This window comes from Homo sapiens, chromosome 7, assembly GCF_000001405.40.
Source record: "Homo sapiens chromosome 7, GRCh38.p14 Primary Assembly".
NCBI lineage: Eukaryota > Metazoa > Chordata > Mammalia > Primates > Hominidae > Homo > Homo sapiens.
This window is the reverse complement of record NC_000007.14, coordinates 107,062,631-107,089,295: the sequence shown is the minus strand read 5'-3', so window position 1 is coordinate 107,089,295 and position 26,665 is coordinate 107,062,631. Positions and strand designations below refer to the sequence as shown.

At 38.4% G+C, this 26,665-nt stretch overlaps 1 protein-coding gene and 1 long non-coding RNA gene across 3 annotated transcripts in view, besides 1 other annotated feature; one reads left to right on the top strand and one right to left on the bottom strand.

Moving 5' to 3' along the window:
• PRKAR2B (protein kinase cAMP-dependent type II regulatory subunit beta) overlaps window positions 1-26,665 on the bottom strand; it is a 117,107-nt gene that overhangs the window by 72,516 nt on the left and 17,926 nt on the right. The window contains exon 2 of the mRNA NM_002736.3: window positions 18,980-19,015. Within this exon, the coding sequence (NP_002727.2) occupies window positions 18,980-19,015 (36 nt within the window). The remainder of the gene's footprint in view (window positions 1-18,979; window positions 19,016-26,665) is intronic.
• Window positions 9,687-24,973, top strand: PRKAR2B-AS1 (PRKAR2B antisense RNA 1). Of its 2 annotated transcripts, none has more exons than XR_007060469.1 (4): window positions 9,687-9,830; window positions 20,428-20,548; window positions 21,826-21,893; window positions 24,814-24,973. It is a non-coding gene; the product is annotated as a PRKAR2B antisense RNA 1 (long non-coding RNA). The 2 variants fall into 2 exon arrangements; XR_007060470.1 differs by lacking the exon at window positions 9,687-9,830 and adding an exon at window positions 11,726-12,037.
• Window positions 11,778-12,072: a silencer, noted in NCBI's record as "tiled region #12069; HepG2 Repressive non-DNase unmatched - State 24:Quies". NCBI's record gives its function as "represses a minimal TATA promoter and a strong SV40 promoter by Sharpr-MPRA in HepG2 cells {active_cell/tissue: HepG2}" and the evidence as "EXISTENCE:reporter gene assay evidence [ECO:0000049][PMID:27701403]".

The window sequence follows — 26,665 nt, the reverse complement described above, 5'->3', positions numbered from 1 at the left end:
AAGCATAATCCCATCTCTGCCATTTTTTTCCTGCCACTTATTATATGACCTTTACACATTGCTAAGTATTATGAATCTCAATTTTTCTCATGTGTAAAATGTGACTATTTTTTTGTTTGTTTGTTTTTGAGATGGAGTCTCGCTCTGTTTCCCAGGCTGGAGTGCAGTGGCAAATCTTGGCTCACTGAAACCTCCACCTCCCAGGTTCAAGCAATTCTCCTGCCTCAGCCTACCGAGTAGCAGAGATTACAGGCACAGGCCACCGTGCCCAGGTAATTTTTCTATTTTTAGTAGAGACGGGGTTTTACCATGTTGCCCAGGCTAGTCTCGCACTCCTGACCTTAGGTGATCCACCCACCTCGGCCTCCCAAAATATGATTATTAAAACCTACCTCCGGCTGGGTGCAGTGGCTCATGCCTGTAATCCCAGCACTTTGGGAGGCCAACTCAGGTGGATCACTTGAGGCCAGGAGTTCAAGACCAGCCTGGCCAACATGGCAAAACCACGGGTCTACTAAAACTACAAAAATTAGCCGGGCGTGGTAACACACGCCTGTAGCCCCAACTCCTCAAGAGGCTGAGGCAGGAGGATCATCTGAACCCGAGAAGAGGAGACTGCAATAAGCCAAGATCACACCACTGCACTCCAGCCTGGGAAACAGAGCAAGAGTGTCTCGAAATAAAATAAAATATAAAATAAAATAAAAGCCAACTGTATGAGAATCACATGAGGAGTAAATCTCAAAAAATAGATTGATATATTTGGCTTAAGCTGCCAAAAGACGTAAGAATGATGTCAAAAAGATAAACATTCACACTGCTGACAAATGAGGGAATAAGCTCCAGACCTTTACACACAACATCTCCTTTCCCTGGAATGCTCTCCTTTCCCCTCACCCTCCACCCTGTACTTCCCAGGCCTTGGCTGAAATGTCAGCTCCTGAGAGAGGCATTCTCTGACCATGTAAATAGGTGCTAGGCATCACTCACTAGATAAATAAATCACCCCACAGATTCTGATTCAAGATAACTGCATAGGATACCTGAACGAGGTTTCCGCCCCTATGAAAGACCATGCTGAAGAACCCACCTCCAACGAGTGGCTCACTGGATTCAAACTCTGACTGCTCTCCTGATAAGCTGTGGGTTCCTTCTACCAGTTAATTTCTCTGTGCCTCAGTTTTCGTTTCTTTAAAACGGAAATAATAATAGTATCTAAAAGCTGATGAGAGAATTACACGACATACTGTAAATCAATGAATGTTTAGTATACAGTAGGCAGCCACAGCTTGGTTATATGAGAGCATTTGTGGCTGGTGTAATAGAAAATGGGGTTAACAGAGTAACTGAGACTGTAGGTTCCTGAGGACCCTGAGTTAAAATATATAAATTAAATTAAAATGTATAAACTTTATCATATGTGGGATGTTAGGGCAGAGATGTACTAGGTGAGTGAGAAAAGAAGAGGAAGACTAATTCAAGAGAGATAAGTAATCTAAGTGTGTGATAACTGGAGTGGTGGCAATAGAAATAGAAAGTAAGGAAAAGAGACAGGGTTTCACCAGGTTGCCCAGGCTGCTCTCGAACTCCTGAGCTCATGCAATCCGCCTGCCTCAGCCTCCCAAAGTACTGGGATTACAGAGAGAATGCCTGAATTTGAATCCAGTCTCTGCCCATCAGTCACTGTGTAAGCTTGGGAAAGGACTTAACCTCTCTGGATCAGTTTCCTTACTGGTAACATTAGAACAGTAACAGTGCCCGTCATATAGAGCTGCACTTAAATAATAAAATGATTTAATACATGTAAAGCACTTAGAAAAGCTCCTGGCTCACAGTAAGCTCTAAATAAATGGTAGCTATTATGATTATTTAAAGTGGTTCTTACTGGAATTCCAGGTTCTATTTATATTAAAGTTTGTATGCAAAATGGAACCCAAGTTCTTTTTCAAAATGAAATATCTTTATGTTATGCAGCACCACGTTTCTAATGCCCTTAATATAGTACTTTTCAAGTTTAAAAGGAGGAAATAAGAAAAAAGTCCATATTTGATGGATGAAAATGCTTTTAGGAAAAAAAAAACATTAAATGTGAATTACATAAATGTTCTCTATGTATTTATTTCACTTTTCTGCTAGATTCTCAATCTAAAATCAATCTTAAGTAAGAGGACTTAGACTGTCAAAATAATATACTATTTCAGAGGGGCATACATTCTTAAAAGGCACATAATAGAACATATAACATTTTCCTATGTGTGAAAAAGTTTCACTGCAATTTTATAAAACTATTCTGTAATTATTTTAAAGCCATGAAGTATACATAATCTTAAAAGTGTTTTAATTTGTGTTAAACAATAGTTGTTATACGTTAGTTATATTTTAAGAATATAATTAATAATCAATATGCTATGACCAAGCAGAGTTCATTCCAGGAATATAAGGATAGTTCGATATTAGATAATCTATTGAAACTTACCATATCATTATGTTTACGAAGTAAACCAAATTATCATATGGATGCTATAAAGACATTTTCGTCCGGTGAGGGGGCGCATGCCTAATCCCAGCACTCTGGGAGGCCAAGCTTGGCAGATCACTTGAGCCCCAGGAGTTCAAGACCAGCCTGGCCAATGTGGCAAAGCCCCATATCTACAAAAAAATGCAAAAATGACCCAGGCATGGTGGCGCACACCTGTAGTCCCAGCTTGTGGGAGGCTGAGGTGGGAGCATCACTTGAGCCTAGGGGTGAGCTGAGATCATGCCACTGCACTCCAGCCTCGGCAACAGAGAGTTTGTCTTAAAAAAAAAAGACATTTCTGAAAATTTCTACTTTTAATTTAAAAAAAAACCCTACTAATATTAGTAATGCTACTAGCAAGCATATATTCTCACTGTACTTTAAGAAATCGGTTAAGTATTTTCTATTCATTATCTCATTAATTAACCATACCTTATGAGCTGGGCAGTCTTACTACCACATTTTACGGATAATGAACTGAAGTTCAGACTAAATAACCCTCTCAAGGTCAAACAACTAGTTAGTAGTAAAGCCCAAATCCGAACTCAAAGCCATTGAACCTCAGATCTGTACACTTACAAATCAGAGAAAAAAAAATTTAACAGGAAATTCACACAAGAAAATATAAACGGTCAACAATAATTAAAAGGAGCTATGCTTCACTCATAAATAAGGAAATGCCAACTGAAATATAACTGAGCTAGCAAATTAACAGACATTTCAAAATTTTGTAATATCAAGTGTTTTACACTGTGTTGAACCTAAGATTGGAATATGAATCAGCATACTGTTTTAGAGGGCAATTTGACAATGCCTATACAAATTTCACATGCTCAAATTTCATGCTTCTTTGATTAAGCAATTCCACTTCTAAAAAATATATCCTGTAGATGTACTTGCAAAACTATGCAGGTATTTGTACCTAAAAACTAAATACCCTTGTTATATACATTTCAATACACACATATAATAGGACACCATTAAGAAGTATTAAGAAGCAAGAGGTGGCTTTAAGTCATTAAAAAGCAAGAGGTAGCTTTAGAGGTAAGGTCATGGAAAATAGAACACAATACACTATTAAGTGAAAAAGACAATGTTCAAAAAATTGGATATAAGTTTAATTTCAACTAAATATGTATGTGCATAAAAACACCCAAGGAAATACACAACAAACTATTAGGTATGGCTATTTTTTAGGACTGGGACTGGGAACACTGTAGAGACACAACCCTTTGTTTTCATTTTATACTCTTCTGTACTACTTCACTTTTTTACCATAAGCATTTATCAATTTTATAATAAAAGTTTTTTAATGATGTAACATATATGCATATACTAATCACAACTATAAAAAAAGATTGATTCATAAATATTACATTTTGGAAAAATTTTGATAATTGAACCTTACAGTGAGAAACATGACCTCATCATTAAAAAGGCCAAAAAAGTATTTTGACTTACTCTTGCTGAATATATGGAAGTTGGAGATGATTTCAAATTAAAACACAGAAAATTGGTACAATCATCACCTTCCACTCTTCACTCCATCCATGCCCACCTCCCTTGTATATTCCTCCCTCTCCTCACCTTCTTCCAAATCATCACAGAGCATCTAACATTATTGCTTATAGATGGCTGAGAGGGCAGGTCTCATCCATTCCAAGTTATACAAACAGAGACAAGTAGATCTTTTATTTTTCATAGGATCCATAATTACAAAGGAATATGATATTTAATAATCACAATTCTGCAAACCAAGCAAACATGACTTCCTCAGTTGTTAGCATCTCCCTTACGTATATACCTGTACTATTAATCTTCTGTTTGATTTGCAGATACTTCAAAAGTATATAGGCCGGGCGTGGTGGCTCACACCTGTAATCCCAGCACTTTGGGAGGCCGAGGCGGGTGGATCACCAGGTCAGGAGATCGAGACCATCCTGGCTAACACGGTGAAACCCCGTCTCTGCTAACAAAATACAAAAAAAAAATTAGCCAGGCATGGTGGCAGGCACTGTAGTCCCAGCTACTGGGGAGGTTGAGGCAGGAGAATGGCGTGAACCCGGGAGGCGGAGCTTGCAGTGAGCCATGATCGCGCCACTGCACTCCAGTGTGGGTGACAGAGCAAGACTCCATCTCAAAAAAAAAAAAAAAGTATATAGATGGTAGTCATTATAATAGGAATTAAATTGATTTTCCCAGTATTAAGGGTTTTCTCCCTGATCCAGGGAGAAACAAAGAGCAATAATAAACCGAACTAAACTGTAAGCAAATCACTCCCAAAAATGTATAAGTTTCCTATTTGTATAAATGAATACTACGCTTTACATATTTCTAGATATATATCCACTAATATGGTTGGCAACAAGATATTTTCAGATTTCTAGCTGAAAAGATAATAACATAACATTTAAATTTAGATCAAAACTAATCTGAATCACTCAGATTGACTGCTAAAAGCATTAAAATGTGAACTATTTTATAATTTGGGGCACAGAACTTTGAATGATGAATTGATTAAAATATAAAGAACAACTTTAAAATGTAAAAAACTTGTTACCAAAAAAGCACAATAATTTAAATGCTTCACCTATAACAGTATGTATAGAAAAACAATGCTGGTACTACAAATTGCCTAACAATTGTCTTTTCTCTGCTTTATTGGAATTTAGTGCAAAAAAATATTTAACATAACTTCCAGACTCAGGATAAAAACTATAACAGGAGAAAATAGGTAGAAGTGGTTTGATTTCATTTCCTGCAGAATAGTCAAAAACACTTGCATGATCTGGTCTTAAAGTAATCAAGACTGTGACGGTCCTACTAGTCTATAATTCCATTTAATAAAATAGCTAAAAACTAGGTTTGGCCAGACGTGGTGGCTCACGCCTGTAATCCCAGCACTTTGGGAGGCTGAGGCAGGTGGATCACAACGTCAGGAGTTTGAGACCAGCCTGGCCAATATGGTGAAACTCCATTTCCACTAAATATACAAAAATTAGCCAGGCATGGTTGTGGGCGCCTGTAATCCCAGCTACTTGGGACGCTGAGGCAGGACAGTCACTTGAACCCAGGAGGCGGAGGTTGCAGTGAGCCGAGATCATGCCACTGCACTCCAGCCTGGGTGACAGAGCAAGATTCTGTCTCAAAACAACAACAACAACAAGAAAAAACTAGGCTTGACTCAGTACTAAGGAATAAATTAATAATATTAAAAATAAAAAGTAAACTGTGCCTCAGTTTCCATACCTGTAAAATGGAGATAATAAGAAAACTCCCTTCAAATATTGCACTAGTGATTCTCATAGGTCGTCTCAGGGAAAGCAAAGTTGAGAAACAGCACTCGACACACAGTTGACCGTGCATAAATTTTAATTAGTATTGTTGTCATCATCACCATCATCTATTTTTGCAAATTAGACTACTAAGACTCATAATCAAAATAATCTTTATTCAAAAATTTGAGCTACTTCCCTTATTAGAGAAATGTATTCCTTGATAAAATTCCCTCAGAGGGGAGGGAAGGCTTTGGGAATTATAAACTCTATTTTTTTTTTTTTTTTGAGACAGTCTCGCTCTGTTGCCCAGGCTGGAGCGTAGTAGCACAATCCCCTCAAGGGATCGTCTCACCTCAGCCTCCCAAATTGCTGGGATTACAAGCATGAGCCACCATACCCAGCCTCGGAATTACAAATTCATAAAAAACATTTTGAGACTCACAGGTTACCTTCAAAACTTATAATGACCTCTGCCTCAGAATCTCTGTTATAGATGAGACACACATTGTGACTCTCCTGCAGGTACAACCTCCATCTAAGACACTTCAGTCTCACCAACTATACAGTCTAACACCAAGATCCCTTCTAAAACAATCATTATGCCAGGCACGGTGGCTCACAGCTGTAATCCCAACACTTTGGGAGACCAAGGCGGGCACTGGATTCTTTGAGCTCAGGAGTTCAAGACCAACCTTGACAACATGGTCAAACTCTGTCTCTACCAAAAATACAAAAAAAATTAGCTGAGCTTGGTGGCACGCATCTGTGGTCCCAACTACTCAAGAGGCTGCAGAGGGAGGATCACTCGAGCCTGGGAGGCAGAGGTTGCAGTGAGCCAACTGCACCGCTGCACTCCAGCCTGGGCGACAGAGCGAGACTCCATCTCAAAAAAATAAAAATAAAAATAAAAATAATTTAACTACAGGAAAATTTTAATTTCACTTAACTTCTAATTAATTGTCTATGTAATATAACATGAATGCTTATTTATTAGTCAATAAAATATAATTCTGAATTACAAATTTTTTCATTATTCTAAGAAGAGCTTTCAATTCTAAGAAATGTATTTAAAATACATTAAATAGCTCTCTTCATATAAATGTACTTAAGAAAAGCAGAGCAATTAAAACAAATGTTTCTAAGGACACAAATGGGGGGAATGATAAATATAAGCAAGTAAGAAGCAATATCATTTTTAAAGTAACATGAAAATAAAATACATTATTTTTATGGTACAGAATTCAGAAGTAAATTGTAAGTGGTAATGTATCAACATTATAAAAAGAAAATTTTGAGATCCACAAAATCTAAATAAAGTGAAAATACCAAATAGGTAACTTGAAAGTAGCAATTTATTTTTAGAAAGCCACAAGAGTAGTTAAGGCAAACCTGTTTTCCATTTCTCCTGCAGATTACCACTCAGCAACCTGCTAAAACTCAGCACGTCTGGTAAGCTGCTGTTCAAAAATTGAATAAAAGCTATGTGCATTTGCTGTATTTGTAGCCTATATACTCTGTTAGGCAATGCATATATTAAAGTATCCATACCTGTTTTTAAAGGGGAGCTATAACTTGGAATTCTGTTTTAAAATATCTAAGGAAAAGGTCAGCTGTACCTTTTTTGATGGTCAATAAACACAACATTTTGTAATTCCTTGAAACACGTCTAACAACACTATCATTTAAGCTGTTCCGTCTTTCAAGTGAAAGGCCCCTTCTTTCCACTATTCTGAAAACAATATACTGTACCATTAATGTATATTTTAATTTGTTGTCAATTTTATGGTACCGTTTTCTGTAAAACAACATTAAAATCAGTGTTCTCTGGTTTTAGTAACTCATGAAAAAGTAGAAAACTAATCCGGGGAGGTGCAGGGAAGGGGAAGACCCTGATTCTTACTGGTAAAGGGAAGACAAGACCTGAATAGGTATTTTGGTTTTTAGTTGCAATATTAACTTTTAAAATATCAGAAAACATTATCCAATGATTACCTAGTATATAATATATTGCTGGGCTCTCAGAGATGAGACTAACATTCTCTAGTAGTCAGCTCCAAAGAAGTAGCTGGGTCAAGATGCTGATGGGGTGGGGGTGGGAGGGACTGCATTTGCACACACCTGTTTAAAATATCAGTTTAGATTTTTAAAAGGTGGATCAATTTGCTTTCAAAACTACAGTCTACAAATACAGTTTATGATGAGGGACTGAGGTTGCTTTTCTGTTTTCATCTAAAAAGCTAAAGGATGTTACATTTCAGAGAAATCTTTGCTCTCCCCCACAAATAACAATACAATGTTAAGTTAACCCAAATTTGGGGTAGGGGAGTTAGTTGTAATACATACACAAAATTATGCACTTTGGCCAATTAATATTAGGTGGGATAAGTTACAAGAGGAAAGAAGAGACACTAAAATTATGGTGTTTTTATCAGGTTAAAATTTGAAAAATCCAGTCTAATAATATATAAAAGTTTATTTTGCACTCAAAATGTGTCAGACACTATGCTAAAAGCTTTGCCTGCATTCTCTTCCAGAATAACCACAATCTGGTTTTACAGAAGGTCATTTAAGTAAGTTGCCCAAGGTCACACAGCTAATAAATGATGTACCTAAGATCCTAAACTGTATCTGCCTGCCCTGGGTCCAGCCCAGTGCCCAACACATTGTAGGCCCTCATTGAATATTTGACTGTTAAATTTAAAAACAGCTCCAAATCCAGCCTCTTACTTCTACATCATATTGCCTTCTGTACCTAAGATAAGTATCAGACGGTTACAGCGCTCTCATTAGGAAGCTAACAGAGTTAGCCTTAAGGAAAGTTTAGTTAAACAAGTATTTACAGTGAATAAATTATAATCTAAAAACTATCAATCCAACTATGTCCTCTTTGCTCTGTCACCCTTGGTCATCCACAAGATGTAAGACCCTCCAGACCACCATCTTTTCCCTAATTTCATCTCCCCATGCCTTAAGCTTCCCTAGACTGCAAGTACTTCAAGGGCATAATGTGTTCACTGCTGTGCCTAGTGTAGTCCCTGGCAATGGTAATTGCTTGCAAATATTTCCTCAAATGAATTGCTGCTCTGTGGCTTCCTTCTGTCCATTACTACCCTCCTTCCCAACACATTCCCCACACCCTCACATTCTTTTATAAAACATTACTGACTTTTCTCTGCCTTGGTTGAAACTTGATTCTTCTCCAAGAACACTCCTTCTCTTAGACGGTACCACTTCCTGCACACAGTGGGATCTGAAAGATAGTGAGGGCACGCTGTGGCTCCCCACACTGGCATCTGGACCACTCCATGGTGCTCCCACTGAAACCTCTGTGCTCCTCCGAGAGCCACGGCATACAGATGCCCCTTCCTGACTGGTACCTGGCTCACAGTTTTCATTTCACTCCAATGTGCCACCATCGTAGGCAGTCAATGTCCAAGTTGAAAACCCATTTGAGAGCCCATCCTCAACTTATTTTGGCTTCCTTAATTCCAATAAAATGTCACTCAGCCTGCCCTTTAGCAGGCTCACCCTGTAACTATATTCACACTGGTCCTTACCCCAGCACACACTACTCAGGAATCTCACACCGCTCTACACACATGCCTGGAGAAATCTTCCCATCCTCCTTGCATTCTCATTTCTTTACTTCACATTCTATTTTTTCTTTGACCTCATCCAGAGTGTCCTTGTTTCTCAGTCCATTAATTATGAACCTCACTGTTAAGCATAGGGAAAAAGACATGTGAACAAGCAACTACAACATCAAACGATGTGTAACAGTAACGGTATCGGAAGGAAGGAAGGGAGGGAGGGAGAGAGGAAGGAAGCTGATGGCAGGGAATGTGGTGAGCTATAGCAAGGCCTAGATAAGAGAGCCCATGGCATGCTCTGAATATGAGCAGGCATACATGGAGGCAGAACGCAGGCACGCCACGGGCCTGAAGCAGGGCTGCCACACGCCACCATTCGACAACTCAAGGGCACCATTCATTCATGCAGGCTGTCCTGACAAAATGCCAAGTTAGCAAAATAAGGTATGTTTGTTTTTTTTTTTTTAATAATCGCTTCTTTTAGATAAATGTGCAATCTTCCTTTATAAAAGCTTTTTGTGAGAAGTTTCTTATCTCATGTAGCACACACCACGGTTGTATCACCTAAGCCATGGCAATCTGCAATAAGATAAGTACAGAGAGTAAAACAGTGTTTAGATACAATTATAGCAATTTGATATTGCTGTGGCAAATTTATATTTCTCAAAAGTGCTGGTCTGCAGTGCACTGGGAAAACAAAAACGAAAAACTGATCCTTCACACAGAGCTGGTGAAGTAGTGACCTAAACTCCGCTTGTAATTAAAGAATGGTTGCACTACATCTAAATGTCTATTCTATCTACTCATACCTATTTTATACTATCTTATAGATCTAACTCCCCGACCCCTTTCCCCAACAGTGGCAGTGTTCCTGTAATTAAGGCACACGGGGTTTGGTGGGTTACATAATTCCCATGTTATCTTCCAAGCCCTTCCACATCGACTGGCAAAACCACCAGTGTGAAGAGTCTGAGGACACTATAGGCGCAGAAAGATCCTCCCTTCCCACCATGCCCCAACCTGAACAGCTGCTTTCACTATCTTCCTTTCTCCTTTCCCTGGGGGGCTCTAAGAGAACTCTGGGAAAATGCAATTAAGTTCAAGAGATAATCTAATTTCTCATTAGCCTTGAGGTAGCTTATCAGCATTCCAGGGCCTAACAAAAAAGAACCAGAGACTCAACAATGCCACAGATTCCACTGGGTTCCAATTCCCAAGGTTGCTTAAGTATCAGTAAACAAGCGCTGCTAGAGTGTAGAGCAGGAGGGGCAAGTGGCTGGAAATGAGCCAGGAGCAGTACTTGCTCTGTTCACTTGGATTATTCATAATGAATCACAGGGAAGAACCCATTTTATTATAATACTAGTGTGGGCACTGAGAGATAACAGGTGCATGAAGTGACTTGGAGGCCCCCTAAATGGCTTCCATCCCACCCAAGGAACAAGCCTGGACAAAAGCCCCCAGGCCTGTGCCCTGGCATCTCAGAGAACCTCCTTAGGTCCCAGTCCCACCTTCCATCCTGTCTTCCCACCTCCCTTGCTCAAGACTGACACCTCTCGTTTCATCCTGTTGCCTCAGTCAAATTCTCTTTCTGACCCTTGATTTCAGCCTCACCCTGGGTGTCATCCTTCTGACTAACTCTTCATGTCAAGCTCTGCAGTCCTGAAGCCATTTCTTTTCTTTTCTTTTTTCTTTTTTTTTTTTTTTTGATGGAGTATCACTCTGTCATCCAGGCTTGGAGTGTACAGTGGTGCAATCTTGGCTCACCGCAACTTTGCGTCCCTGGTTCAAGTGATTCCTCCGCCTCGGCCTCCCAAGTAGCTGAGACTACAGGCACACGCCACAACGCCCAGCTAATTTTTATATTTTTAGCAGAGACAGGGTTTTGTCATGTTGGCCAGGCTGGTCTTGAACTCCTGACCTCAGGTGATCCACCTGCCTTGGCCTCCCAAAGTGCTGGGAACACAGGCGTGAGCCACCATGCCCGGCCTCAAGAATCTGTTCTTCATGGGTTATCTACTGTTTCATTACAACAATCATCTTGTGAGTTAGGTATTATCCCCATTTTATACCCAGAGAAACTAAGCCTTAGAAAGGTAACTAAGGATACACACACACAGAGACACTTTTAATACGTAGATAGGTGAGTAACAGAGCTAGTACTCTAACCCTGGTCTGATTCCAGAGCCTATACAGCCTCTCCTGGTAAGGCAGATGTTAACATTTTGAAGCAATGGTAAATTAAAGGATGAAATAACTCCTGGCCTTAAGTCCCTGCTATCCATAGCCAGTGGGCATCTGCTCACTCCATGCCATAGGTGCTTGATGGCAGAGGCAAACTGCATAGCAACATATGGTGAAAATGGACTTTTTACAGTAATACTGAATAGAAATACCTAGAATAGTCTCTCTCCTTATAGTCCTCGTAAAACCTATGTTATAAACCTTAAAGACAGCACAAATAGTACCCTTCCTGTGAGGCAGGCCCTGGAAAAACTGTATGTTTTCTCCTTTTCACTTTGAGGATATTACGGCATTTACTACACTATGAGTCATCATCAGCTTCCCTGCTAGACTGCGCACTTCGTAAGAACTGTATCTTATTATTCGTGGCATCCCCAGCACTGTACCTGACACACAAGAGGGACTCGGTAAATGTTTGCTGAATAAACTAGTATATTAATTAAAGTAGTATTCTCCCAATATGTATTCCCAAGTATTGGTGATTAACAGGCTTATTAAAAATGAAGCTAATTTCAAAAAACAAAATATGAATGTAACTATAATTATACCAGCAAATTGGTTTGACAATATAGAAATGACCTCTGGAAAAAAATAGTTTGGGGGTTAAAAGCTGTTATCGTCAAATAACCTTAAAGTAGAAACAATGAACACCAAGGCTACAAGATATTTCCCAAACAAAACAAAAGGAAGCATATGTTCCGTGAATCAAGGAAGCATATGTTCCTTGAATCAGATTCAAGACAAGATGTGAACTTCTGCTATTTCACTAATTTCTTGGGGAATAATCATTTCTGTTCAGGGTGATTTCACTGAGATTTGTAATATCACATTTTACACAGTAGGTGTGTGAGATTGAAATTTAAAGATTAATTTCACCTGTGAATTATTCTACATCATAGTTTACAGAAAATTATAAAATTTTAGTTCTGTTAAAAATATACCACAAAATTATATGTTCATACTATGGCAAAAAATTAAAGAGTGGTTAACTACATGAGAAAAGAAAATCCTTCTATTATAAGAAATAATTACTTATTAGAACAAGTAATTGCTTTCAAGTAGTCCTTGAAAGCAATAGTAAATGTCAATGCAAAGATTTCATGGACGTCGGTGGGGCATACTGAACAAACAGCAGCTGTGCTAATGCCATCTATGAATGCATAACAGGCGGTATAGGGAACTGTCTTATGGTTAGGAATAACCTTCAAAACTCTGAAAAAGCAAATTTCAAAAACTTCAGGGAGTCAATTTATGAAAGGCAAGAAAAACTGAGTCATGACAATTAAATGCAATAAAAAATCCTTGAATTAGCTTGAATTTAAAAGAGAGAGAGAAAAAAACATGATAGGACAGTGGAGGAAATCTGACTCTAAACTCTGTATGAGATAATAGTATCGTATCGATGTTAAATTCCTTCAGTGTTATATTACCTAGAAGAATGCCCTTTTTCTTAGGAGATACAGGCTGAAGTATTTAAGATTCCTAAAAGTTTCAATAAAAAAGAGTGTGTGTCTGTGTAAAGATGGAGAGGAGAGAGCATGCAAATGTGGCAAAATATCAACATCTGGGGAGCCTAGATAAAGGCGCTCACTGAACTCTTTAAACTGTTCTAGAAGGGTAACTTTTTCAAAACAGTATCTTAGGATTAAAAAAAAAATTCAGAGTTCCAACTTCATGATGCAAGGCACTGTCTTAAGATTAACTGGACATTTCTAGCCCCTCCCCAATTCAGAGACAAAACCACAGAGGAAAACCATTACAATTTTTTAGAAAACCTATAATGTATAAACAATAAAAAGATGCCCATATTAAAGGATTACTATCAAACAGTATTATGACTCTCTAAGGCTTTATTCTGACAGGCTAAGGCAAAAAGCTGAGGGGTTTATGGCTTTGTTTTAAACCACGTTCATAAGAAGAAGGCTGAGAGCGAACGTTTTGAAAAGCCTAGACTCTCTGCTGGGGGCTTCCTTAAACTCATCCAACACCTATAATCACAGCACTTTGGGAGGCTGAGGCAGGTGGATCCCTAGAGCTCGAGAGTTCAAGATGAGCCTGGGCAACATGGCGAAACCCTGTCTCTATAAAACATACAAAAATTAGCTAGGCATTGTGGTGCACACCTGTTCTCCCAGTTACTAGGGAGGGTGAGGTGGAAGGATCACTTCAACCTGGAAGGTGGAGGCTGCAGTGAGCCAAGATCATGCCACTGCACTACAGCCTGGGTGACAGAGTGAAATCCTGTCTTAAAAAAAAAAAAAAAATTGCCAGGTGTGGTGGCTTACACCTATAATCCCAGCATTTTGGGAGGCCAAGGTGGGCGGATCACGAGGTCAGGAGATTGAGACCATCCTGGCCAACATGGTGAAACCCTGTCTCTATTAAAATACAAAAAATTAGCCAGGCATGGTGGTGTGCAGCTGTAGTCCCAGCTACTCAGGAGGCTGAGGCAGAAGAATCGCTTGAACCCAAGAGGCAGAGGTTGCAGTGAGCCAAGATCATGTCATTGCACTCCGGCCTGGTGACAGAGCGAGACTCCATCTCAAAAAAAAAAAAAATTTAAAAATAATAAAAATCATCCAATTTAACCCTCACAAGCTTGAATATAGCTATTAAGATCCCAAGCTGAAAGAAAAGAAAATAAATAAAATTAAACTCAAAGAAGTAAACAACTTACATACAAATTCACAGAGAAAATGGGAAAACTCTAGTCAGTACAACTTCAAACCCTAGGATCTTTTCTATATATTAGGTGAACAGTGAAGCAACAGGATTATTTCTTGATTAAAGCTTTACTCTTAAAATATTTACTGAGCTGCTACTACTACTACCACCACTAAATTTTTATTTATTTATTTATTTATTTTAAACGCAGTCTCCCCCTCTGTCGCTCAGGCTGGAGTACGGTGGCGCAATCTCAGCTCACTGCAACCTCCGTCTCCCAGGTTCAAGCGATTCTCCCGCCTCAGCTTCCCAAGTAGCTGGATTACAGGCGCCCGCCACCAAACCCAGCTAATTTTTGTATTTTTAGTAGAGACAGCGTTTCACCATGTTGGCCAGGCTGGTGTGGAACTCCCAATCTCAGGTAATCCGCTCACCTCAGCCTCCCAAAGTGGCAAAATTACAAGTGTGTACCACAGCGCCCAGCCACCACCACTAATTTTTAATACTCACAACAACAAATGATATATTATTTCCATTTTCCACCAAAAAGAATAATCTTCCAAAAAACAAAAAGCCCATATTGTAAAATGGATTATGTGGCCGGGCGCAGTGGCTCACACCTATAATCCCAGCACTTTGGGAGGCCAAGGCGGGCAGATCACCTGAGGTCAGGAGTTGGAGACCAGCCTGGCCAACATGGTGAAACCTCGTCTCTACTAAAAATACAAAAATTAGCCAGGCATGGTGGCGTACACCTGTAGTCCCAGCTACTTGAGAGAATTGCTTGAACTTGGGAGGGTGGAGGTTGCAGTGAGCCAAGATCGTGCCACTGCACTCCAGCCTGGGCAACAGAGCAAGGCTCCATCTCAAATACAAATAAAATAAAATGGATTATGGATAATGATTTCTCTGTTACTTTATTTTATTTTATTTTATTTTTTGAGACAGGGTCTCACTCTGTTGCCCAGGTTGGAGTGAGTGGCACAATCTCAGCCCACTGTAACCTCCACCTCCAGGGTTCAAGTGAATCTCCTGCCTCAGCCTCCCGAGTAACTGGGACTATAGGCACGCGCCACCATGCCTGACTAATTTTTGTATTTTTTGGTAGAGAAGGGATTTCACCAAGTTGGCCAGGCTGGTCTCGAACTCCTGACCTCTAGTGATCCGCCCACCACGGCCTCCCAAAGTGCTGGGATTACAGGTGTGAGCCACCACACCAGGCCTCTCTGTCTTAAGGATGTACTGATAAGAAGGGATTATTAAGAGCTGAAGAGCATTTTAAGAGATCAAAAGCAGTATTTCTTTTTCTTTTGTTTAAAAATGGGACCATGAGGTACTGTTTAAAAATAAGGTTATGGGGTGCTGTCAGGATGCTATCAGAGATATATCTGGATTTCAGAAGACATCTGACAGTTTTTCATCATGTTTTGTGGAACTCATCCAATCTAATCAGTAAAATTGGGTCCTATTCTTCTGGTGCCCATCTACGCTTCTCTTCGTTAGTCATGCTTTCTACATGCCTTCCACTCCTGTACCAAGTAAGATGCTGGCTTATACAACCCTGAAGCCTCTATAAACTCTTAAGATGCTAGGAATTCTGTTTGAAAATAATGAGTGAAACTGATTCCTTTCACTTACAAAAATAAAAACTGACACGTTTGTGGGCCAGCACTGAACACATGAGGAAGACGAGAGACTATAGCACAAATAGTGTTCTTAAAAGTGTAAAAATAATCCTAAAGAATGTATTTGTTAAGCATAAATATTCCTCTCACCTTCATAACAAAAGAAAAAGGTATCCAAAGGGGAAATGTTTTGTTTAAATTATTCAGGTTTGAAATATTTATGTTTGATAGATGCAGTATGAATATCAAAAGCCAAAAATTCAAAAGATTTAGGAAAGTCAGTTAATGAGTTATTAATTATAATTCATAGTAATTTTTTCTTTTCAATCAACAATGATAGAACACATAGCACTACACATTTTGTATTTATTGTTGTAATATATACATATAGCATTTACTGTTGTAACTTTAATTTAAAAACAGATGAATAAAAAACAAACTCTTACGTCGTACAGACTTCCAGTTGATTTTACCTGACTTACTTTCTTCCCCTAAATTACCATTCTTACATTAAAGTTTTATGGGTTATGAAAAGAAAAAGTATCTCTGAAAACTCAATCAGAAAAGGTATCATAAGAAATCTTTTTAATTATCAAATACAATTGACTGCATTTTGAGAAAATAATCATTTCTTTTTTATTTTCAGGAAATGTTACTTTTTAAAAAAGTTAATGTACATCTCTATTACTAAACTTCATGTTAGCACTAAATTAAATTAACAAAAAAACTGTAGCATTTCCTCCTCAGGATGTCTTAAGACTGTTTCTATATTCTTTGTCAAAAACATTTTACACAAACTTTTATAAGAATTAAGAAAGTCTCAAATAAAATACAGAGAAGTAGATGATTAAATAAATCCTCTTCCCTTTTTTCTTATACCACATTTTTTATTCAAAGTATTAAATAATTTTATTTGCCTTGCCTGAAAGACTAAAAATGTATATAAAATGCTTAGCACAGTGCCTGATCCATCAGTGGTACTCCATAAATTAGTTCTCTTTTCTTTCTTATAATTAATGTCAAGATTCATTCTCCTGATGGTTTCCAGCATATTATATTATTGGGATAACAATTTTACTCCTTTTAAGGCTTACTGCTGTATACAGCGTGACTCCTGAACTTGGTATCATCTTATTTATACCAAACTGTTTCCTGTTGTTTTCACTGACATTTCTTATTACCTGTCATTCTGGGAATAAATGCAACATTTGATTTTAATGTGTATTTCTTTGTGGTATTACATCATCTCTACAATTATATATATATATATTTATTTTTTATTTTTATTTTTTATTATTTTTTTTTTTTGAGATGCGGTCTCACCCTGTCACCCAGGCTGGAGTGCAGTGGTGCAATCTTGGCTCACTGCAAGCTCCGCCTTCCGGGTTCACGCCATTCTCCTGCCTCAGCCTCCCGAGTAGCTGGGACTACAGGTGCCCGCCACCACGCCCGGCTCATTTTGTTTTTGTATTTTTAGCAGAGACGGGGTTTCACCATGTTAGCCAGGATGGCCTTGATCTCCTGACCTCGTGATCTGCCCGCCTCAGCCTCCCAAAGTGTTGGGATTACAGGCGTGAGCCACCTCGCCCAGCCAATGATACGTATAATGTACAACAAATACTAATGGAACGTGCCCAGAAATAAATGTCACATGTCATACGGTTTGAGGTAGAAATGGTGATTATTTATTCTATGACTCTTAACTGTGTTTCTATTGAAAGAATTTCACCTCATGAAGACAAGGCATCACAATACTGATTCTCTCTTCTTCCTCCCCTATTCCCACCACTGCTCATAAAGGACTACTACACTAGAATATGATCACACTTGATAGTTCTTTGGGATAAAATTCGACGCCTTACTGACATAAACATAATGTCTCATTCCACAAAAGGCATTACAATCTACACTTGTTTTCACCATTTAAAATAAACACGCCTTGAGATTACAAAAAGCTCAGAATGATAAAGTAGATGTTATTCCAATATAGCATATTATCCTTATAGACCTGGTCACTACATAACAAGAGTAAATTATACCAGTAACTGCTGACAAATCAAAAATAAAATTCAACATTAAAATGTCTTTAATATTATAGCACAGGTGGAAATAAGGTAATTTTGTGAAATAAATGACCCATTTGTATTATATCAACTCCAAAGATGATCTGTGTGAAATGTTTATCTTGGGTTTAACAAAAAATTTCCAGGTATACTTAAAGAGTAATTTTCTCAAATCAAATATTACCCTCACTTCATTTGTCCTCTTACACAGAGAAGATAAGCCATATGGTGAATTTTCTAAATAATAGTTTATCTCAATGCCCAAACTCATTTAACTTAAGCCATTTTGGACAGAAATGCTCTTAATTCTGTCTCATACTTCCCCAGCAGTTTAAATAGTACACAGTATATTGAAGTTAACGTACGCCCTTGTTAATGGCTAAGGCCTATCATGCTGACTACATTAGGGTACTGTAGTATATTTAAACCAGCAATAGCCTCAGGGGCACAAACAAATGTAAAGCAATTTGCTCCTATTCTAAATGGTCCCATAATGACAAGTTCTTATACCTGCATTTTAAGAGTTCTCCTGTCCCTTATTAAAAACCCTCTTATGAAAACAAACAAACAAACAAACAAAAAAACACTCACTCAATTATCACTGTTTCTAAGGTGTCCTTTACCCATCTGCTAAATCACTGTTTCTAGATTATGGCTGGTAAATCAGACAACCATACAGATCGTAATTCTATCAAGAGCAAGAATAACACCCTGGGCTGAGAGTCTCCATTTAAAAAGGCCCACCAGTTTAGTACACAGTGTGACTTTCAGTGTAGCCACTCACATTTTCAATTGCATTTGAAATTGCTTCCTAGGTAGGGCATTTTCAATTGCTTCCTAGATAGTGATTATATCAGATAGTTGTGTTTTCTGGGAAAAATAACTGACAAATAAAGGTTTACTATACAGCAATTATTCTTTGTACCTTCTTGTCCAATATTATCATTTTTTAAATGTCACCATTAATAAACAAAATCCATAATATAATCAGACTTACCTGAGGCACGCCTTGTGAATCGGTTTATTACTGGAGCTAAAAGAAAAAGCAGAATAATATGATTAGATTAAAAGTCTAATTTTCCCAAAACCCTGAAAAGGCTCAAATTGGTAAACCATCTTATAATTTAACTAAAGAAAAAGATGAATAAATAAGAGGAAATACCATGAATATACAAAAATTAAATGCTGAAATTCATTAATAATCAAATAAATATAAATTGAAATCAGTATTTTACCTATTAAATTAGCACTTTAAATTAAAAGAAAAATCCCTAGTTACAGACAGCTAAAACTACTTAACTGGGAACCATATAAAGCAATACAATACCTTTAAACAACAATTTGGCAATTACATCAAGTACTATAAAAGACTTGTGTCACTTAATAGGGTAAATCTACTAGAGATTTAACCTAAAGAAGTACTACTAGTGAAGGAAAGAGCAATGTATGAATAAATCTATTCAGCAGCATCATTTCTTAAATGATAAAATTAGAAAACAGAACAGAAATTGCTCATGTATGTTGAAATCATCTTTAGCTGAAGGATAGTATATCCTTGAAAGTCTCAGATTTATAGTTCTGACAGTTTTTGTGCAATCCAAATGTCCATAACACGCAAATCTGTCCACTGAAAGCTGCAATCTCATCCTGGTGTGCGCACCACTCAGCTGGCAAGCCTACCATCTGCCCACTCCTCCGACTCAACTCAGCTCTGTATCTTCTTGGTTTTGATGACATCGTTATCTCAAGAACTGAGGTTTTTAAAAACATGCCTTTCTCAAGAGAAGCAGGTACATTTCTGGCTCATGTTATATAAAGAAAGGACACAATGTACTATGCAGTATTTTGGTAACAGAATGTCATGAGTCTACTTCAATACTTTTAGAAGAGTAATTATGAAATTTGTTTACACTATGGAAACACTAGGTCAAGTAAAAAGAGAAGACAAAATTTTTATCAGCAGTATGATTGCACTGCATGAAAAATATGTATGCACAGGAACAAGTACTATAATAAAACTATGTCAGATGTGTAGTGCATTAATCCTTACAATCATGCTATCAAATATCAGCACCTTCGGCCAGGCACAGTGGCTCACGCCTGTAATCCCAACACTTTGGGAGGCCAAGGTGGGCAGATCACCTGAGGTGAGGAGTTTGAGACCAGCATGGCCAACATGAGGAAACCCCATTTCTACTAAAAACTACAAAAATTAGCCGGGCATGGTGACAGGTGCCTCTAATCCCAGCTACTTGGGAGGCTGGGGCAGGAGAATCGCTTGAACCCAGGAGGCAGAGGTTGCAGTGAGCCAAGATCACGCCACTGCACTCCAGCCTGGGTGACACAATGAAACTCAGTCTCAAACAAAAAAAAAATCAGCATCTTCAAACAACTGATGAGTACATTTTACAGTAAGTCTCAGAGAAAATTATTAATTTGTTTTAGATCACACAGTCACTCTTCATCACAGCTGGAGAATCTGAATTTACGAGTATCTTGCATCAAAACGCTGCCTCAGAGAGAACAGAAAGTGAAAATACAGATTCCTGAAATCATACAATAAGAGGTGAATATTATCTTCCTTCATGATCTTCATTATGATTAAAGATTAACTTTGTGAAATAATTCATAAACCCAATTATCAAGATATTATCATTTATAACAAAATTATATCCTCCAAAGTGACTGAAAGACATACAATATTTACTATTTATATACCACAATACTTTAGTCATATACTTGCACAGTCACAAATTACTTATTAAAAACTTGCATCAGATAAATTGTGTTATATATATTTTACTACACATACACACAAAGGCCCATCAGTTTTCAAACCCCTTTTTTGCAACTATTAAAGTTAGTCTAAAGAGTGCCACCCCAGCAAGCTACAAGGACAGTGAATGGAAACAAAATGCAAAAAAATGCAACCACAGGAATGCAGAACGGAGAGTGCAAGCAGATATAGGCAAGATGAAGGTTAAAAACTTCTCTCAGCCTTGGGGCAAAAATATAGTAGACATTCTCTGCCCCCCTGCCCCCTCCAGCCTCTTTAGACGATGAAGCCACAGGACTATGAGCTCCTGGTTTAAAAGGTCGGGAAGTCTTTGTTTTCCTGGGGTCCTTAGGTTTCTGTGTCTTTCTGAAGTGTTTAAGGTAAAGGTTTTCCACAAAGGTGGCATCGCTATCTAGAAGATGTTTTCTAAATTTGTGGGGGCAATTTTGATTGTCACGGTAATTCAGAGGACACCCTTCCTTGGCTTTTGTCAGGCAAACTCCACAACAATCCTGCACAACAAAGAACTGTCCTGCAACCTTCAACTTTTGTCCTGCATAACTTTTAAAACATCCCACTGGGCATTCACATTGGCAAAAAAAAGTCCATTTATAACCATCTGGGCCTAAATCCTAATACAGCTCTTTATATACACTTGATTCATTTATGCAGTTTTAATATACATCAAATTTTCTACAACACAATGACAACATCAAATTTGGGTTTTGTTTCTTGCTTTGTTTGGAATTTTACTAATAGATGTTCATCATTTCAGAAAACCATGCGACTACTACAATGCTCCTTATGGTATTTGGATTCCTAGTACAATGCTTTTTGATCAGACTCCGTTTGCAGCTTTTATATTCATAGAGCCTCCACATCTAGGTGGGACAATCTAACTACACTGTCTTCTTGAGTACATGCTGAAACACATACCTACTGAAATACATTTTACTTGCTATAAATTATTTTAATTTATTTCTCCTTGATATTTTTGCTAGACATTCTATCAATTTCTAAATCGTGAGTAGACAGGTTGTAAGTCTATGATTTTCATTTTCTGACAGTAAATGGGGCATAGGATTGGACAGTTAAGAAGATGGGTGCACCAAGCAAGTGGTATGCAGTAATTAAGGTAAATACTGGGTTTTGAGAACAATCACCAAAAATCCAATCTCTCATGCCCATATCCCTCCATTTCCACTTGCAGGGATGAAACACAAATGTTTCCTGTACAAACTTTCAGCAAGTTAACGGTCACCTTCATCATTTTTCTAAGCTTTTTAGTCTAATTACCAAAATAGAGAAGAAGGCTGGGATTCAGGGTGGAGGCCTTGCTGGAAATAAAGAAATGTGCATCTGGCCAAGCTATGCCTGGTCCTCTCTCTCAGGAAAGTAAGTCAGGGAAGGGGAGCAGGAAGGTGACGATGGGCACCGCCAACATCCCGACCTTCCACATCACTGGCAGGGAGGGGGTGAAGCATGGGGCATGGACAGACCACCCAAGTGGCAGACAGGAGCCTTGGGCTCTAATACTGGCCACATTGCCTTCTGATGGCGTAGATGAACCATGTAACCTTGACTTAAATTTTCAACTTGTGATATATGGAGAGTAAAATCTGCCCTCCTTCTTTCAGGGGGTTTTTCTGAAGAAAAAAACCTGGCCAGGCACGGTGGCCCACGCCTGTAATCCCAGCACTTAGGGAGGCCGAGGTAGGCAGATCACCTGAAGTCAGGAGTTCAAGACCAGCCGGGCCAACATAAGAGAAACCCCATCTCTATACTAAAAATTAAAAAAAAAATTAGCCGGGCGTGGTGGTGAGCACCTGTAATCCCAGCTACTCGGAAGGCTGAGGCAAGAGAATTGCTTGAACCCAGAAGTCAGAGGTTGCAGTGAGTGGAGATCCTGCCACTGCACTCCAGCCTGGGCAACAGAGCGGTACTCCATCTCAAAAACAAAAAAAACCTAAACATCTTTGGATGTACCTGTCAACTATAAATTCCTATTCAAATGTAAGAGACTGACGCTTATTTAGTGTAAACTAATATTACCACTTTTTAAATATAAAAAATACACAGCAATACAAATTCCCAAAAAATGTTAACAGATGAAGGTATCTTAAAATGTGACAAGTCAAATTAAATTTTCTCAGACTTTTGGTTTTTACCTTTAGATTTTCTTATTCTGTGGATATTTGGTGAATACACACACACACACACACACACACACACACACCCCACATAGAGAGAAAACTAGAGACTAGGATAGAACGAAAAAATAGGAAACATATTGTATGCCTGGAGAAACAAACAATATGATTTAAGAACAGAGTAAAATCCTAGCATTTTTAAGAGAATATAACCTAAGATCTTAGTGAATCCCCAAGGAAAAAAGACAAAAATATTTATATAAGGTTTGACTTTCTCCCCAACACTACTGCAGTGGAACACTGAGTCCTATGTTCCTATGAATATCTTCGTGCTTGTATAACCAGAGATATCTTCTGTTGCCAAACTATATTCCACTAGATTCGTTTAGTTCCTACGCTCCCAAGAGACCCAGAAGTGTAACTGATTCAAGTCTTCTTTAATCCTTCCGTGTCCTTACAAGAAAAATCCTCCATTACTTTGGATAAACCGAAGAAGTCTCTATCTCAGCAGTGAAAACAGCCTCCCATACCTGCTGGACGGAGTTCTGCACCAGGCCAGCAGGAACTGCTTATCTGCTCACCTCTTCATGCCCAATGCCTATCACAGTGCCTGGCAGATAAAGGTGCTGAGTAAATACCTGCAGAATGCATCAATAAACTCTGCAAGGAAACAGAGCAAGTCTCCCTCTCCCCATTAATTTTGTTGCTGTATTGAGTGTGGATGCTGGGCACTGGAATTGTAAGAGAGTCCCTGCCCTTGAAGAGCTTATTAAGTCTAGTTGTATTTTCAAATACAATGGCTTCAAAGACTTACACCCTGCAAGTAGCTACCTAATTTAGAAATACCGCAGGTGAAAGAGAAATCCAGTAGAAGACTAAAAAACCTAAGATAATCTATGAAACTAAAAGGTTGATAGCAGTACACACAGTTTGCATCTCTGAGCATACTCCTGGGAGGGAAACTCCAAGTTAAAGAAACAAGAGCCCTGAGCTGTGATCTGCAGTCATAAACACACACACACACACACACACACACACACACACACACACACACACACACACACATACACACACCCCGAGCAAACAAAAATAAAAAACAAACTACCCTATCTACACTGGAGCTGTGTTAGTTAAATTAGCCTTTTGCAGAAAAGTGTTCGTATACCCTAAGTGAAATATACACAATAATCTTGGATTCAGCTGAATAATTTTAGCATCCTTATCCGCCCATTAATCACCTTTTCTAGCAACAAACACTTTCTGAATCTGTTAACTGTCTAAATAAAATATTCTAGAAACTGTGTAAATTGAAACCATGTAAGATAATTATTTTTGACAGAGTAAATATTTAGTGCAGAATAAATGAATTTCTCTTATGCCTGTGCTTCAAAAATTAAAGTGAAGTAAGGCTCACCCTTGAACCAAGGAATAATTAACTTTTTTAAAAGGTCAACAGCAAACAGGCAAATAAACAACAAAACTTGAAAATTTTTCTGATTAACCTAACACACACAACTTGCAAACTTTTAATACATACATAATTTCTGGTATTGAAAAGGACCACTTATTTTCTACATTTTTGTTAAAAGGTACTGAACCTTGACCACAATTATTAATACTCAGAGATACTTTACTCATCACTGTCTTGTAAGCCCTTGAAATACTATGTATTTCTAGATACACAGTGCCTAGGAATTTGTTGAGATTCAGCCTGTGAAGGGGCTCAAAGGTACAAGGACAGAATAATAGTTGGCGGGTACCCTCCAAGGCTTCATGGTCTTGGTCTCAAGGAGACACAGATTATGAACCATGTACCTCAAGGCACTTCTTATGAGACATAACGGGAGCTGTTTGAGAAGCCAGCACTTGGGAGACCACTTTTCTTCTTCCTTTTTGATTATACAGCAAAGAAGCACAGAGATCAGGTGTCCAACCCACTCAGACACGTGGATTACGGCTGGAGGTGGGGCAGAGTAAGACGAAATATCGATGCTCCTTCTGCTTTTACAAAGTGCCAACTTCAAAGACTTTCTTTATATTTACTAACCGAATTCCTCAAAATATAACTGACACTTTAGAACATGAAAGTAATAGAATGATTAAATTAGAAAAAAACATATTTTTGCTTGTGAATGAACATGAGTCTCCAGTTCTTAATTCATGAGGATTTTACCAACAATGCCCTCTTAGAAAAAGAGAGAAAAATACAGTTTCAGCTAGAAAAATCCTAAAATGACTAAGTTTTTATAAAACTACACAGAGATTTGAGGCAGTAACAATGTCAAGAAAAACGTTCCCAAATACTTTCAGGATTTTAAATGTGGGCTCAGAGTTAAGTAGAAAGGAGTGGGAAACGCCACTGTCAAGACGATATAAATTCACTTTCTGCTTCTCCATACACAAAACTGTCTCTTTTAAGTCTGTACGGTCAGATTCATGCAAAGAGCAGATTTATGGAGACCAATGTTCTGCTTGTAAGAGTAAACAATCCAAACTAGGCTAAGAACACCGGAAAAGCTGGAAGCTGCAAAGAGTTCAAATTGCTACATGTCTATAAAGTCACAACAAAACAGCTCCAGAGAAGGGTAATTTGGGAGAAACAAATGGGAAAAGGCAGGAGGGAGACTTTGAAATGAAGAGCAACTGAGAGAATAATCAGGGATGTGATTAAGGTTGGCCTACTAATAAGAGTACGGTTATAGAAAATACCCATATTCAAAGCCTTCCTCATACAACTCCCAGAATGAAGATATTCCTGCCATTCCAGTCTCAGCTCAAATAACCCCCTCTCAGGAAGCTTTTCCCTGAACACCCAGTTTAAAGTTGCCCCTCTTGTTCCTTTCCATGGTATCATCCCGTTTCCTTTTCTCCAGAGCTGGCAAAAGAGACCTGTTTTATGTTTATTGTCTGTCTCCTCCTTCGCTACATTATAAGCTCCATGAGGGCAGGGTCTTTCCTTGTCTGTCTGCTTCATTACTGTATCCCCAAGGCTTAGAACACTGCTGGCTACAATATATATTAGGTTCAAAAATGCTGAAGCAATAGTGCTAATGAAAAATAATATAATAGGGGTGGCACCTAAAGATCATTTGGCCAGGCATGGAGGCTCATGCCTGTAATCCTGGCACTTTGGGAGGCCCAGGTGGGCAGATCACATGAGGCCAGGAGTTCAGCCTGGCCAACATGGTAAAACCCGTCTCTATTAAAAATACAAAAATTAGCCAGGCATGGTGGTGCACACCTGTAGTCCCAGATACTTGGGAGGCTGAGGCATGAGAATCGCTCAAACCTGGGAGGCAGAAGTTGCAGTGAGCTCAGATCGTACCACCGCACTCCAGTCTTGGTGACAGAGTGAGACACAGTTTCAAAAAAAAACAGCAAATGTTATGTATACAAGTATTGAGTTTCTGAAACCCATAAATTAAAATATATAGTACTGGCTAAAAACATAAAATAGACTTTTAACACTAGAGCTTGACTAGTCTTTGGCTTTTTTTCAAGTAGTATTATTAAAAGCAGTACCATTTATGCCCCACAATTATGAAAATGTAACCTGGTTTTAGTCTCTAACAAGAATAATGAAAGATTTCACAAGATAATCAGAGCAGAAGGCAATGGCATTTCTCAATAAAATGTGGAAAAAAAAGATTTCAAGAGTGTCCACATTTCCAATTTTTTTTAAAAAAAGATGTGAAATTGACATACAATAAAATGTACAATTCAATGAGTTTTGATAAACATATACATCCACAACCAA